This window comes from Homo sapiens, chromosome 16, assembly GCF_000001405.40.
Source record: "Homo sapiens chromosome 16, GRCh38.p14 Primary Assembly".
In the NCBI taxonomy this organism is placed as follows: Eukaryota; Metazoa; Chordata; class Mammalia; order Primates; family Hominidae; genus Homo; species Homo sapiens.
The window spans coordinates 54,019,361-54,035,990 of NC_000016.10; the positions used below are offsets into that span (position 1 = coordinate 54,019,361).

The 16,630-nt window shown below is 39.1% G+C and overlaps 1 protein-coding gene across 19 annotated transcripts in view; it reads left to right on the forward strand.

The window, feature by feature from the left end:
- Positions 1-16,630, forward strand: part of FTO (FTO alpha-ketoglutarate dependent dioxygenase) — a 417,979-nt gene that overhangs the window by 315,398 nt on the left and 85,951 nt on the right. For 4 of the 19 annotated variants that reach the window (XM_011523314.4, XM_011523316.4, XM_017023656.3 and 1 more), the window contains exon 9: positions 1-4,749. This exon is cut by the window's left edge. The exons of the other annotated variants lie outside the window; for them this stretch is intronic. The gene's annotated coding sequence lies outside the window, so the exon portion shown is untranslated. Of the gene's footprint in view, positions 4,750-16,630 lie in introns of those variants that run through there. 19 annotated transcript variants of the gene reach the window in all.

The following is a 16,630-nucleotide window of genomic DNA, read 5'->3' on the forward strand; positions in this document are numbered from 1 at the left end:
GTTGTTGAGGCACCAACAGTGCCTCCCATAGGCATCATGATTTTTTTATGCCTCTGCCATACTCATAGAACCATATACATTTCTTTAGTAACAGTTGATGCATTTAATGGGCATATGCAAAAGTTGTTGGCATATCTACCAAGTACTGGGCTTTGTCCAATGTGGAAGGTCCTCCCAGGTAGTGATCATCCTCCACAATTCCTTTACATTTTCCTAAAAACCTATCTCAGTGTTGGGCCCTTCAGGTAGAAACCAGGAACACCTCGGTTTCTAGATTCCTTTGGCATATAGGTTTCCTATGGGAAAGAAATAGGAGAGCTGGCTTTCCTCTTTGAGAATCTTCTGTTTGGTGGAGATTTGACATCCAGGATACCATTGTTAGGACTTCCACTGAGATGAAAGTTTACAGCCTGATGAAACAAGTCTCACTTTCCACTTTGAATTACTCAGGCTCTGTGCATCTCTTTCCACTGCACAGCGTAGCATTTTGAACACTTCACTACTCATTAGCACCTCCAGTGAGAGATCAGAAAAGAAGGTGGCTGGGAGGGGAGGATTGAAGAATGCAGATTAGTCAAATTGTTTTTTGTTTTATCTAGTTAGAGAAACAGCTGAAATTACTGCCTCAAAAAAATTTGGAAAATTATCTGGCTTATAGTTTATTTCTATAGTTATTTTCCCACTAATTGTAAAAATTAGGAGTATTACATTTTAGAGTAAAATAATAAATAAACAATAACAAAAAATGGCTACAACAGAAGAAAACATGTTCCTGGATTGAAGAAACCAACCTAGAAATTATACTGTATGCCTCAGAAATTTAATACTATTTTGTCTTTCCTGTATGCAGTTGGATTATAGAGTACAGATATTGTCTCTTTATTAATGCATGATTTATAAATATTATTTGACACTAGGGATATCAAAGTGATTGTGGATCAAAGCTGCCCATCCCTTCACCCTGGTAGATGAGAACACAAAATATATCCATTTCCTATACACCATGAAGACATTGCTTCCAGTAGGTTTTCTTGCTGGAGACAAAAAGAAAAACAGAAGCACCTACTGTACTTGTGCACTTTCTGTTTTACAGTTTCATAAGGATTTTTACAACATAAGTACATGCTCTATGATATTACATACCTTTCCACCACTTATATAATCAAGTGCAATTATACTGACTGCTTGAATAGATGATGGGAAAAATGACTTGAATCAAAAATTACACAACAGAACGCTGTTTCAGAAAGGCTTTTGGAGTGTACGTGCCACAGACCCCAAAAAGAGATGGATCAAGATGATTATAATAGCCTTGAATTTTCCTAGGTTGGTTGAGTGTGGTGGCTCATGCCTGTAATCCCAGCACTTTGAAAGGCTGAGGCAGGCGGATTACTTGAGGTCAGGAGTTCGAGTCCAGCCTGGCCAACATGGCGAAACTTCATCTCTACTAACAATACAAAAATTAGCTGGGCATGGTGGCACATGCCTGTAATCCCAGCTACTTGGGAGGCTGAGCAGGAGAATCCCTTGAATCTGGGAGACAGAGGTTGCAGTGAGTCAAGATGGCACCACTGTACTCCAGCTTGGGCAACAGAGTGAGACTTTGTCTCAAAAAAAGAAAAAAAAAGAATTTTCCTAGGTTATGGCACCAAGAATAACTTGTACCATTTTGGAAGATTCATCTTTTTTCCCACATAACACAATGTAGCATGTAGTATATGTGACACATACCATAGCTACCTGTGCAGGAGCTTGGTGAGTTCTGGTTTTGTCTTTCTTCCCCTCAATTTCTATCCCTTCTTTTCTTTGTGCTTCTTCCACTCTCCTCTTTCTATTCTTCTACCATCCTCATCTTTTCATTTAGAGGCTTGGAGAAGAGCTTAAAACAATAGGTGATGGGGAGAAATGTAGTTTCTTCATGCAACATAATTTCCCCCTGCAGTAATCCATGGATCAACACATTTGAGGGCAGCTGGTTTAGAAGAGGCCCTTACAATTGTCTTAACTTACTCCTCAGAGGGTAGGCTGGGTGTATAGCCTACATGGCTATACATGGCCATGTAGGCCATGTAGGCCATTAGATTACATGGCCTTTACAAGGAATTTTTGGGTGGTTTTATTGTTTGTTTGTTTGTTTGTTTGTTTTTGAGACAGAGTCTCCCTCTGTCACCCAGGCAGGAGTGCAGTGTCGCAATCTCGGCTCACTGCAACCTCCGCCTCCTGGGTTCAAGCAATTCTCCTGCCTCAGCCTCCTGAGTAGCTGGGACTACAGGAGCACACTATCACACCCAGCCAATTTTTGTATTTTTAGTGGAGACAGGATTTCCCCATGTTGGTCAGGCTGGTCTCGAACTCCTGACCTCATGATCCGCCTGCCTTGGCCTCCCAAAGTGCCAAGATTACAGGTGTGAGCCACCGCGCCTGGCTTGGGTGGTGTGATTCTTATGTAGGAGAAAAAAGAGGAACATAAATGCAGAACACAATTATGCAAAATTAGGAGCCTTTAAAATGAAATATGATATTGTAGGTAGTTTCTTCAAAACAACATACTAGTTTTTTATACTTGTTTATTCATCACTGAAAACAAAACATATGGAAAAGGCAATTTTTCTCCCAGCCAACCCCTTTTCCTCGGATATTTTTTCAAGAAAAATTTTACAGCAGATGTTTTCAAATAGATTTCTATTTATTTGTGGGCTACCATTATATCAGTAGGATTTCTCTAGAACCTTTCCATCACTTCACCTGAGTTTTCTTTATCGGAAGAAAAAAACAAAAAAACAAAAAGAAATGTCTGATCACCTGCCCTAAGTCTACAGTTGAGAGCAGTTTTGGGGACTAGTAAGTCATGTTCTCTTAAGGACAGCGTCTCCTAGGTGAGCGGCTCGTAGTCCATATGGAGCAAATTAGACAGTGAAAGAATGGTGCTGCTACTGTTTCTGATTGGTTACGGTAGTATTAAAAAAGAACAACAACCGACTTGCCCAGCTCTGAAGAAGAAAGATGGATAAAATGCTCTTTGAACACACTAGTCTTTTTTTTTTAATGTCTGTACAGAAGGGTTGCATTTATATTTGGCTTTCCAGACCTGTCTCTTGACCTTCTAATTACTTTATTTGAAACAGCAGTGAGGGTATAATAAACCTGGAGGTTGTCTCTCCTTTGCTTTATCATAAATTAAAGCTGCTGGTTTGTTGAGGTGAAAGTGGAGGCTGAATGTTCATTACTGCTCAAGTGACGGCTTGTCAATAGCAGTGCTTTTTAGTTTGTTCTAGTCAGCACTTGCTGTGCATTTTGTTGGACCACTGGGAAATAAATACAACAAGATTATACATTTGGAATACCACAAGAGTTCACAAAAAAAACCACAAATGATAAATTATACACTTGGTAGAAAGTGACATGCTATCTTGTGCTATTAACAACCAAAGATAATTGCAACGAATTGTAATTGCAGTTTGCAACTTACAGTACAGTGTGTCCAACATCAATCTTAATAGTGAACAAAGCAATTTATATTAAAACTTAATTCACTTGGTAACTTTCCGCTGTATACACGGGAGCTAACAGATGTAGCTTTTCAGAAAGTTCAAAGGCATTTGAAACGTGGAGAGAAATGCTAATGCAGTAAGCCTTGGAGAAATATTGCATTACTACTTGTAATGAAAACAAATGTATGTCATTATCTCCTAGTTTGTGTTTATTTAATAAAATATGCAGTTTGCACATTGGTGAATTCAGTGTTTCTGAATGGATATGGAATAATGTTCTGTTCAGAATCAAAGGCCAAACAGGACTAGCAATTACGCATCTTCTGTAAATAGTCTGCTGTAGCATGCACCTTGATGCTTGAGTGGGTTTTGTATGAGGTGTAACAGCAAACCGGGGTAACTTTATTCATGACTTTCCTTAGATTGGATGTCTTTGAAGCAAGAAAGGGAGATCTCCTGGAATTACTTAAGAGAACAAGCATATTTGTTTTGTGAGCTTGACTGATGGCCGGTAGAGCAGTTGAGTGAAATCTCTAAACTGATTAGGGCTTTCGTTCAAATAATCTTCTACCGTTTTCATTAATTTATTCCTTAATGCTATTTTGCTGCTCTTCTACCAAGGATAATAATCTCACACTCGCTGACCTCCATGAGTGGATGACCTGGAGCTCATAACTAATCTTATTTACTCTTCTGACCAGCCCAACTTCATTTACCTTGACTGGATAAAGAGCCTTCCGTTGCTAAGCCTCCGTTCCTTCGTAGCATTCTCGTTAATCTACAGTGAAGGGGGAACGATGGGCTTTCCCAATCAAGATCCCAAAGCATGCTGGGGCACTGGGAACTTCGTGCGATTTCTCTTCCTTTCTTGAAAACATGTTTCCACTTTATTGTTCCCCCTTTTTGATTTGAAAATAATAGAGAAAAATGGGGGAGTGGGACTTCACCATGGTCCCACTCTCCTAATACAGCTATTTTTACCTTGAAAGTTAATTTCCAGCCATTGACCATAGGAATGTGTGGGTTAATTTAGGTATTGTTGTTGAGTACATGAAATTTTGTATCATGCTTTTTTATTTAATGCTACATTGTTTCCTGTGTTGCTTCATAATTTTATAATTATGCATTTTAAAGACTGATAATGCGTTGTTTATATACTATTTTGGGTTTAATTGTTCCCCAGTATTGAAGTTAGGTTACTTCTACTTAGTTATGCTATTAGGAATAATGCTGCAATAAAAATCTCTGTTTTCTTCAATTAGATGGTTTCTCTTGAATATAATATTACAAATGGAATTATTAAGTAAAAGGTATAAGTGTTTGTATGGCTTTTACTATACATTACCAAAAAAATGTCTAGGCTGTTTTTCTGTTTGTTTGTTTTTTGTTTTTTGAGACAGTCTCACTCTGTCACCAGGCTGGAGTGCAGAGGCACTATCTCGGCTCACTGCAACCTCTGCCTCCCAGGTTCAAGAGATTCTCCTGCCTCAACCTCCCAAGTAGCTGGGATTACAGGTGCACACCACCACGCCCAGCTAATTTTTTTTTTTGTATTTTTAGTAGAGACGGGGTCTCACCATATTGGCCAGGCTGGTCTCGAACTCCTGACCTTGTGATCTGCCTGCCTCAGCCTCCCAAAGTGCTGGGATTACAGGTGTGAGTCACCGCGCCCGGCCTTGGCTGGTTTTATGTTAGTTTGTATTGCCACCAGCGATAGAGAAGTATATAATTTTATCACAGTAGCTTTGAGAATTATCCTGACTCTTCCACTTACAAACTACATGGCATTGGGCAAATTACTTAACCATTCTCCCTCGGTTTTCCCATCTGAATAAAGGGAATAATAGCAATGCTTAACTCATAGGTTATTATAGGTATTATATTAGTTTATATATTTAAATATCAGGGAGTAGTGTCTGCCACAAAGGAAACACTCCATAAAGGTAAGCTGTTATTATTCCCAAAATTTAATTTTTCACCCAGTTTAATATTACCTTCTATTTAAGCTGCAGTTTTTAGAGTAAATGTTTTAATAGTCCATTGAAGCTAACTAGTCAATAGATTTTATAATCAGTAACTTCTGTATTTAATGAAAAATTTAAATCACTTAGGCAATAAGCCATTAAGAAGAACTTCTCAGTAAGAAATGTTCAGTCTGTAAGGTAGAGGCTTTTAGAAATTCCATCTCTTAATTTATAATAAAACAGCTTTTATTCCAGAATCATCTAAATGGGTCTTGAATCCTTAATGAAAGTCTGAAGGAGTTTAGTCTGGATCTCATACCTGCTCCTCCATTAGGGGAGGCCAGAGCCCCTTGATGACAGTCCCACTAAGACTGCACACTATAAGGGGAAGAAATTTCCCAGACGAAATTGGAGCACTGTTAATACTAGAAGATAGAGAAATGGAGGCTGGACAGCTAAAAATCACAAAGGTACACCAAACTTCTTAAAGACCTTATTACTACAGTATTCTCAACACTAGTGATTGGGAAAACAACTAAATGATTGTAGACACCTTGAAGTATTTGGGTCACCCAGTAACCACTGCCTATGACATTTATCCTAGAGATAAATGTTACTTATTTTTGGCCAGGTGTGGTGGCTCACACCTATAATCCCAGCACTTTGGGAGGCCAAGGGAGGAGGGTCACTTGAGGTCAGGAGTTCAAGACCAGCCTGGCCAACATGGTGAAATCTTGTCTCTACTGAAAACACAAAAATTAGCTAGGCTTGGTGACGCGTGCTTGTAATCTCAGCTACTTGGGAGGCTGAGGTGGGAGGATTACTTCAACTGGGAGGCAGGGGTTGCAGTGAGTGACCGTGCCACTGCATTCCAACCTGGGTGATAGAATGAGACTCCATCTCAAAAAAAAAGGTGGCTGGGCGCGGTGGCTCGCGCCTGTAATCCCAGCACTTTGGGAGGCCAAGACAGGCGGATCACCTGAGGTCAGAAGTTTGACACCAGCCTGGCCACCATGGTGAAACCCTGTCTCTACTAAAAATACAAAAATTATCCGGGCATGGGGGCGGGTGCCTGTAATCCCACCTACTCTGGAGGCTGAGGCAGGAGAATTGCTTGAACCCGGGAGATGGTGGTTGCAGTGAGCTGAGATCACGCCACTGCACTCAACCTGGGCAACAGAGCAAGGCTCTGGCTCAAAGAAAAAAAAATTACTTATTTTTATTAGTCAGCACAACATTGAGAACTCATATAATTAGGCATTTTGCTGGAGAAATGGCTCATGTTTGGCTGCAAATATCAAAGACCAGAAAAACGGTAACTTAAACAATATCAGGATTTATTTTCCTTCATCTGAAAGAAGTTCACAAAGAACAGGGTTATTCTGGTGGCTCCACAACATCACCAATGTTCATGGCCCCTTTGGTCTTGAGGTTCTGCTATACTTTGACTTGGCTTCTGGCTTCAGGTTTCCCTCACGGTCACAAAAGAACTGCTGTGGCTCCTAATGGCTCACCTACATTACAGGTAGGAAGAAGGAAGAAAGGGAGGGAAGGGTATAATGTGCCTGGCAGCTGAGCCAAACCCCAACCCCTTTTTAAGGAACTTCCCCAGAAGCCTTGCCCAACAATCTCTACCTAGACTCCATTACCTAAAACCTAATCACTTAGTTTCATCTATAGGTAAGGGAAAACTGAGAAGTGCTTTTCAGCTGGGTACATTGCTGCTCTCAACAAAATCAGGCCTGTGTGAGAGAGTAGAAAGGGAAGAATGGATGTTAGGAAGGCAACCTGCAGTTTCTGGCACAACTCCCTTGTGTGAAGGAGACAGTCTTCAGCTCTGTGAACTCTCCTGGCAGCCCTTGATGTTGGCCAGTATTATAGACGAGAAGCCAGGAGAGTCATAATGAAGCACTTCCTGGGGCAGAGAAAAAAGTAAGTGGAGTGAATGATGAAAACTTTAGGTCATTAAATAAAGTTCCAACATTTTCTTCTTGCCCAAAACATTCACAACAAACTCTGTGGAGTAGGAATTGAAGGAAAATGTGCCATGCCATTTTTCTTTAGCCTTTTTGCAATGCAACGCACAATCAATACAAATCTTTGCAGTAATCATATATTGATTTTCCTAGAATATAACTCCATTTAAAGCACTTTTATCCCCAAGAGTAGAAACATTGGAGGCTATCAAAGGAGGAAGTAGATTTCCTTGACCCCATCTGCAGTGCACAATTGATTAACAGGATAGTTATGAGAGTGTGAGAGAGAGACAGAGAGAGAGAAGAGAGAAGTCACCGAAAGGTTAATACCAGCTAAAGAGAAACATGATTATAGGACATTAGGCTTTTTGTAAAATCATAAGGTCAGGATAAGATAATGATACCATCTAAAATTACACAAGATTTTGAGTACTTAGTATCCTCTGACTGCCCCAGCAACCCAACCCAAACCCCAACAAGCATAGCTGAATTTTTGGGGTTGGCAAAGCCATGAATGGAATGATAGGTTTAGGTTCAGGCCCCATGAGCTGGCTTGATAAGGGAATGAGTAATACTGATTCGATTTATCCTGAGTCATAGCTGTGTACTAAACTAAAACTTTAGCATACATCACATCGAATGTTTCTTTGCTTCAGACAAAGCGAAAAGAAAAAAGGACATTAGGAACCCTCATTTTTATTCCTTTTCTTAGGAAAGTTAAACACTTCCTTTCTTCTACTTTCCCTCTTCCCTATCACTTTACTCCCTAAAGATTTAAAAAAAAAAATCTGCTTTCTGAAAATCCCATGAGTTTAGGTCTGCTGGGTATTTCTATGCACAGATGTCTTCATCCCAGAGACAAGAAGAGTAATTGGATGGTAAGTTGCAAAAAGCATGCAAGTTCTGCTCTGCCTCTGGCCTGAGTAACTGGGATGTAGCCAAAATGGAGAATGGTACCCCCTGAAGCAATCGTGAGTTAATGTCTCTTACATACTCCTTGCTGAAAAGGCAGAGAGTGTACTCTTGTTTATAGTGTATTGTTCTCACTGTATTTCTCTCCCTAAGTCCCTCTTGTTTTTTTGTATCAAGACTGAGTTCTCACAAACAAGCTCTTTATTAAATTAAATGGTTCATGTAGCCTCATTATCCTTCTCAATGTGCAATACTTGATAGTTTATTTTACTAGCAACTTCTGGAGTTTGTGTTTTTTTTTGTTTTGGGGGGCTTTTTTTAAATTTTGGCTTCGGGCAAAGCAACTAGTACACATTGTTAGATAAAGTATCTTATCTGTCAGCAGCACCCTTGTGAATTAATCATAATTCAATAGGATTACTAATCAAGATTTGAGATGAATGTTTTGATAGAGCTATCAGATTTGTCTAATCTGTCATTAGTTGACAGTCGCTGCAGGCAGAGTGAAAACTTGGCAATAGTAGACCTGTTTCTGATCCCTTTGGCTTGGCCCACCAGTTGGGTAGCTTCACTGATTATAGCAGTGGACCCAGGCATTGCAACTAATTAAGTTCTGTTTCTCACTCTCCAGGATCCTCCCTCCTCCTCTCACCGTTTTCAGAATATGTTGGGTGGAGTTCAGCTCTCATGAACCTGCCCATGTAATGAACAGATTTGGTAACAAGGTGTTCCTTTTGGTCATTTTCACTTGATAACAAAGATGTGCCAAGCCAAGTGACAAATCTCAAGGGTGATATGGTGTCACTTGCAAAAAGTGGTCAAAGAAAAAAGAGAAACTTAATCTGTTGTTAAACGATACTACCGATTACAACTCTTTCCATGTCACTAAAATCTGTGTCCCATTTTACCAAGTTGTACATTCTTGGAAGTAATTTATAGCATATCTTGCACATTTATTCAGTTTGATTAGATAAATGAAAGCTAGTGATGTAGATTGGTATTTTATTGTATACACTATATACAGTATTTAAAATTATATTAAATTTTGAAATAATAATAAATTATACTCTGCATATTATGTAGTACTCATTAATACAAAGATGGGATCATTTTATAGAGGAGTCCTTTACCAATTTTTCTTCCTCTCTCTACATTGTTATTAGTATAAAGATATTTCTTCATTATAGAAAACTTGGAAAATTCTAGAAAAGTCTAAAAAATTTTAATTTATCATAATCTTGTCATCTCAGAATGATCAATATTAACATTGTATCATCCTATTAAAATTAAATAACAGCACAAATACCTTAATTAGTAATTGCTTGACAGTATTGTCAATAAAATATGATTCTACCTGGCATGGTGTCCTGGAATCTGTAGGCAACACAAAGGAATCCAGAAAGATCGTACTTTCTCTCAAGGCTTCACTTTCTACATGAAAACCATATGGGAAAACTCATTTAGGCTGTTAGTGTATCCCATATGTTAGAAGTGACAACTTTTTAATTTCACAAGCATGTCACAGGCCTCACTAAATGAATGCTAGCCACACTGAGAGATTTGTAGCTTGGATGATTTAGACAAGGGATAGTTGAGAGTTACCTAATTAGACTCCAGGTGTAATTATGTAAGGCGTTCCAGGCAGCAGTGTGCTGTGTGTTAATTAACTTTCATGCTGAACATGCAGTAGCCCCTGAACAAAGAACAGTTCATGGAGGAAGAAAAGCTTCCTTACTTTGCCCTAGCTTTAGTTATTCTCCTACTAAAGTTAACCTCTCACACTCCCCCTTTTTTCTAGTTGAGAGATGGGCCATAAACACAAGCCACTTTGCAAAGTGTTCATTAGTCCCTGTAACTCTCTTCCTACCGTCTTCCATTTCCTTAAAACATTCTTTGGAAAGATCTTTTAAAAAATAAGAGGTGTATGTATTTATTTATGTACAACTCTGTTACTGGTTTTAAAAATCCAAGTGACTTCTAATCCTGATTTTTTTGCTGCCCATTAAACTCCACAAGTATCTTTCTGTGGTGACGGGGAGAATGATATTTACTGAACTACAAGATTAGCTAATATCCCATCAATAACTGAGTGCCACAGACTTCCTCAGTTCATCCCATTCCTGTCTCTAGGTAGCAACAGTGAGAAAAGCACTTATTAAAGAATATTTTTTCTTCTACTAAATTAGTCCATGACTTCATTTGTGCTGGTCTCTGTTTGTCAACTGCTGCCAAAAATTTTTAACTCATGCAGTAAAGTAAGCTTCGTAAATCTATATAATTCAACTCAACACTTGCATGAGAAAATATTTCAGGTAACCAGTTAAGCCCTGTGTATGGATGGTAACTGATTGATTGTCCAGTCCTCTCCCAGTTCTCAAGTGAGAAAATCCCATTTCGAGGTTCTCTCTTCCTCCTAATCCTGTCACCTTGACATCTGCAGGCTTTAGTTTTCTACTAATAACGTCTAGAATGACACACAGGACCACCTTGTTCATATGGAAGATAAATAATAGTTCTAGAATTCTGTCTACAATAGCATGAAATTAACGTAGATTAAGGATTTGCCTGAAACGTTAAGAACAGATAGGATTCAACATTTTTTTCTTCTAGTACCTCTTACCAATTATGAGAAAGAAACTACTTACTAAAACAGTCTTGATTTTTATTGTCTGTTGGAAGAAAGGTAAAATAAGGACTTCGTTGTATAAAAAGCATTATCTGGCAGCCCTTATAGCTATATGGGAAATGCCTCAAAGAGATGCATCCTAGTGAAGATGAGGAACATTTGGACAATTTGAGTGTTCTCTTTCAGTTGGATAATTTTCAGTTGGATATCTAGCAAAACTTAGTCCTCATTTTTTTTTGTTTGTTTTTCCTCTGATATGCAATGTAGACTACATCAGGCCTTTATAGTCAAAACCAGACCAACCAGTTTTGACCAAGCACTTCCTCTCTTCAAGGCTATGTTTAGTGCATCAGGAATCGAAAGACATCTAAGACATAAACCCTATCCCCAGAGAGTATACTATCTGTTAGGGAAGATTAGACATTAAAAACATGAAAAGTAAAACTCTAATAAAGGATTTAAAGAACAGTTCAAGATAACAGTAGGAAAGATATGCCACATGACAATACATGATTGTCAAATGCATTTACAGATTCCCTTTAGAACAAAAACTGTTCTTGAATCCTTCTAATAGAAGGGGTTCGTAGAGACCATTATGAAGCCTTAAAATATTAAGAAACTGAAGTATTATTCCATAAGAATGCCTTTCAATTTAGAAATTTCAATGCAAAGGAGAAATCTGGTTTATGTAACTGGTAAAGTCATTATTTTAGGTTATCACTGAATTGAAAGTGTAAAATGTGAAAATTCTTATATAACCAGTAGATCTCTGAGAAAGTGCCAGTGGACAACCCCACAGAGCCAGGAGAGGTAATCAAATCATTTCTTTTAGCAAGTTCCAAATATGATGAGGTTGTTTTAAGCTACATACATAAGATCTTAGGGAAAAAATGGATTTTTTAGTTGTCTAAATGACACTGCAATTTGTTACAGCCCAACGGATACTTCTTGCTTGCTGCACAGAAAAGCCAATGCACTGAAACAGTGGTGTTGCGGCAGAAAAACAGTTTAATAATCTCAGGACCAGCTAAGTGAGGAGATGGGAGATATTTCTCATATTTGCCTTCCCAAGAATTTGGAAGCTAGGGTTATTAAGGAAATTTGGTGGGCTTGGGGCTAGGGAATGGATACTGCTGATTGGGTGGAGATGAAATAGCACGGGCGTCAAAACTGTCTTTGTGCCTGAGTCAGTTTCTGGGTGGGGCTTACAGAGCTGGTGAGTCAGTTCCTTGGTGTGGGTCACAGATCTGGGTGGCATCGTTGGCTCATCAGAATGCAAAGTCTGAAAAATACCTCAAACACCAGTCTTAGGTTTTATGATACTGATGTTTTCTATGAAGCAATGGGAGAAGTTACAAATCTGTGACCATGAGCTATGTGACTCCTAAGCTGTAAGCAATTATAGAAAAGCAAAGCAAAGCAAAGCAAGTTATGAAACAATAACTGGTTATGATTTAACTATGCCCATACCTTAGCAAACCTTAAGTCCTTATCACAATTCTAACCTTGTGGGCTTTTACTAATTTTTTTAAGGTGGTTTTATAAGACATGGGCAGACAGATGGAAAGAGGTCATTCCAGTTAGGTAGAATTCCATATGAGAGTGGGAATAAGGTAGTGTACAGTAGGTTTAGTGTGTTAAGCTATCTGGCTGAAACAGAAAATTCAGGAAACTTAGACCAATATATGGGAGGCATCAAAAGATGGCTCCATTCTGGGAAGCCTTCAAAGGTTTCCGAGGCTAACAGTGACATGATGCTGGTGATATTACAGGCAGATTAGTCTAGTGGGCAGTGTCTACAATGGATTTGAGTTGTTCTTGCTTGAGGCAAAGGGATGTACCTAGAGAAAAGCATTGTTCCTGAAATGAGGTGATGTAAGCATGCATCTGACAGAGCAGTTATAATAGAAAAGACGTGAATTTCAGAGGACTTCTAAGTTGACAGAACTTTGTAATCAATTGGTTTGGAGGATGAAGAAGAGGAACGAGCCAAGAGTGATTCTCTGATATCAAACCCAGAAACAAGTGGACATTTGGAGGCTCCAAAACCAATTTGAGTATGGGAAGAGGTTTTAAAGATACAGCCATGTAAATTAGCTATTGGGAAGACCTAAAGTGCACAACATTCTTCTGGCTGTGAAAATTATGAAATTATTCCCCAAAGGACTACTTAGATCATTATGTCTGCTCAGTCATCTGAAATATATTGATATCCAAAGTACACATCCAGTAATTAAAAGGAAAAAGAATCCAAACAGTTTGTTGATTTTGATATTTTGTTATGGGTTAGTAATTGCCTTGACTATCTTCTTGCAGAGCTTGTAGTTAAAGGCTTGCTTATTTCTTCATCAAGTAACAGCTGAATTTCTTCTTTCTTCCTATTGATATAGTTTAGATACTTGTCCCCCTAAATCTCATGCTGAAGTATGGTCCCCATTGTTGGAGGTAGGGTTTGGTGGGAGGTGTTTGGGTCCTGGGGATGGATCCCTCATGGCTTGGTGCTGTCCATGATCTCATGGACAGTGAGTGGGGTCTCACAAAATCTGGTTGTTTAAAAGTGTGGCATCTCCCTCCCCTCCACTCGATCTCTCTTGTGCCTGCTCTGGCCATGTGACATAACCGCTCCTGCTTCACCTTCTGCCATGAGCAAAAGCTCTCTGAGGCCTCCCCAGAAGCCAAGCATATTCCAGTATCAAGCCTCCTGTCCAGCCTGCAGAACCATGAGTCAATTAAACCTCTTTTCTTTATAAATTACCCAGTCTCAAGTATTCCTTTATAGCAATGCAAGAATGTTCTCACACACCTATTTAGGTTAAAAGGTTTTCTTATCATCTTGGTTTTCAGAAATGGACAAATTGCCAAGGGCCTGTCAATTCTGGACTGACATTTTTTCACCTGCTTGAAGAGATACTGTTTTCTCTTAAGAACTAGTGATTTTCTTCAGTTGTGTGACTGACTTACATAATACTAGCAGAATTGGCCACTTAGTGTCCAACAGAGAAATGAAGTTGAGACTGTGGGGCTGGGAAGTCTCTGGGGCAATAGCTTCAGGTTTGAAAAGTGAGGAGAAATGAAGCAAAAAAATAAAAACACTGTACCTTTTGTCAAACCCTTTGCTTAGATCAAGGAATCTAGATTTGGCCAAAAGGTTGAATTTAATGCATACAGTTGTGTGGTATAAATTTGTCTTTGTAAAGGTCAGACTTGTCCAGACACAGTGGTTCATGCCTGTAATCTCAGCACTTTGGGAGGCTGACACAGGAGGACCCTTGAGGCCAGAAGTTCAAGACCAGCCTGGGCAATATAACGAGACCCTGCCTCTACAAAAAAGAGACAACTTAACAGGGTGTGGTGGTTCATGCCTGTAATACCAGCTATATGGGAGGCTGAGGTAGGAGTATTGCTTAAGCCCAAAAGTTCAAGGCTGCAGGGAACTATGATCATGCCATGTACTCCAGGCTGGGCCACCGAGCAAGACCCAGTCTCTTAAAATAAATAAATAAAGCTCAGATTCATCCCATTCCAGGGAATAGGGAAAGTTCCACATTGATCAGAACTGAGTCCTGTAAGCTCCAAACAATATGACTCGCCTTTAAAGTCCTTCTGACGATACCTTTCCAAGTGTCTGACTTATGATGTGTTCCTTGTTGTATAGACTTGTACGTACCTGGGCTATGTAAGTATCACTTCTGAGGGTACAGGTAGGAGGGTTGCTGCGAGGGCCCACTGTCACTTCGGGAAAGTGTAGCAGTACTTGCCAAATTTAAAAGCCATTGAAACAACTGAAAATAAAAATTAAAGGTGGTTATTTCCCCCATTACTGAAAGGTATATGTGAAATCTTGCATTTACTTTTTTTTAAATAGACTTTAAACATTGATTTTCCTTTCTCTGGGAAGGCAGATGTTTGTGTAACCAGGAAAGAAAGCTGCTCTCAACAGCAGTTTTCTAATAAAAGGCCTACTTGCTTTTCCATTTTAAAACCAGTGTTTAAGAGCTTTATGATTCTAAAATGAAAAGAATTCCCTTGCTATACAAGGAAAAGGAAGAGTGATGGAATATTTTTGCAAGAAAAACGTACCTTAATTTGCCACCTTACAAGTAGCCTGTTGGCATGAGTACATTGGAATGAGGAAGCTTTTATTAGGAAATAATCATTTCCAGTTCTGTTATAGTCATTATCCCAAAAGTTTCCCAAATTCTGTGTACAGTAGTGTGTCCTGGAACCTGTTTAGTCACACGTGGGGAATGAACTGAGCTTTTGAGACCAATAGGATGGTGTGAACATAAGACCAGGTAATAGAGCTGTTCTCCTAGTAGTTTTAGGGTCTTAAAAGGGGTCATTAATGCTTTCAAGTCACAAAACAATCTTTAAAGTTCTGGAACTATACTTTCCTACAATCATATTTCACATTTGCACATAAGTTAGCTTGAATGAATGTTTAATAAAAAGCTGGCTACATTCACAATGTTGCGCAAAAATAAAATAAAAAATTAAAGCTGGTCTCTGTAACTACTTATATGAGGTTCTCAGCCCCCACTGACAGTGTGTGTTTTAGGGAAGGAAGCACATTGAGTCACTAGCAAAACATAATTGGGAAAGTGCATCCCTTCCAAACTAATGATGTATGGTCACTACTCTAAATAAATAGGGGTTGGGATTATCCATTTTGATAACCTGTTTTGTGTGCTGTAACTGTTCAGTTTAGAAAATACAGAGTTGATTCCAAATTTTTCCTGCTGGTTTGAAAGAATTCATACATCTTTCAAAGTGTGACTGATATTCAGCAAGGAAGTGCCTTACTAGTTGAACAGGATCTGATTTGTCATTCTTGTTTTTGCTGTAAAGCAAAATCTACTTTTAGTTAAATCAGTAATTTACAGGTATATAAACTAAAGCATCAAGAAAACAGCAAAGAAGTTTTTTCCAAGATCATTCACATCCAGAAATGAAATGAAACCCCTACGAGGCTCCTTCTTCATTTTGATGGGGCCATTGTGGTTCTGGCCCCTCAGTTTGGTTGAGGGCAACATGCGGAGTATCTCAGCTGAACACAGATCCTTCATTTGATGTCCTGTCTAAACGTGACTTCACAAAGATCTTTTAGTCAGACACTGGATAGCAGAACTCCTCCCCTGGGAGAAAAGGTCTTTAAGGTATTTTGAGGGGAGGAGAAGGGTTAAGAGGTCTAATCCATAACTCTAAATCCCCATGCTTGGAGGAACTCATTGACATTGTCGGTTTTAAGGGCTCCTTTGGAGCCATTATGGTGTGTCACGCTGAGACCCACTGGAGAACACTTAATTGTAGATCATTGTCCCAGTGTGTTTCAAGGCCTTTTCAGGGTTTTGACAAAGCAGCCTCCTCCGCCACTTACGGGAAACCTTGGGAAAGTTTCGATACTGACAAACCCAAGAATATTCTTCAGGTTTGTGCTTTTAAATTAAATAACTAGAATTATCAGAGGTTTTTCTGTCTTCCTTTCACCCGCTTCCTCTTGAAATGAAACCTCAACTGGACATAGACCCCCTGGCTGCTGGATATGTGTTGGCTACATTTCTTTCCTTTTCTAATTTCTTTGGTTTTGAGGTCGGGATTTTGTTTTTGTTGGTGGCAGAGGTGGTATAATGAGCAAACACAGTTATCACATGCAGAGCCTGT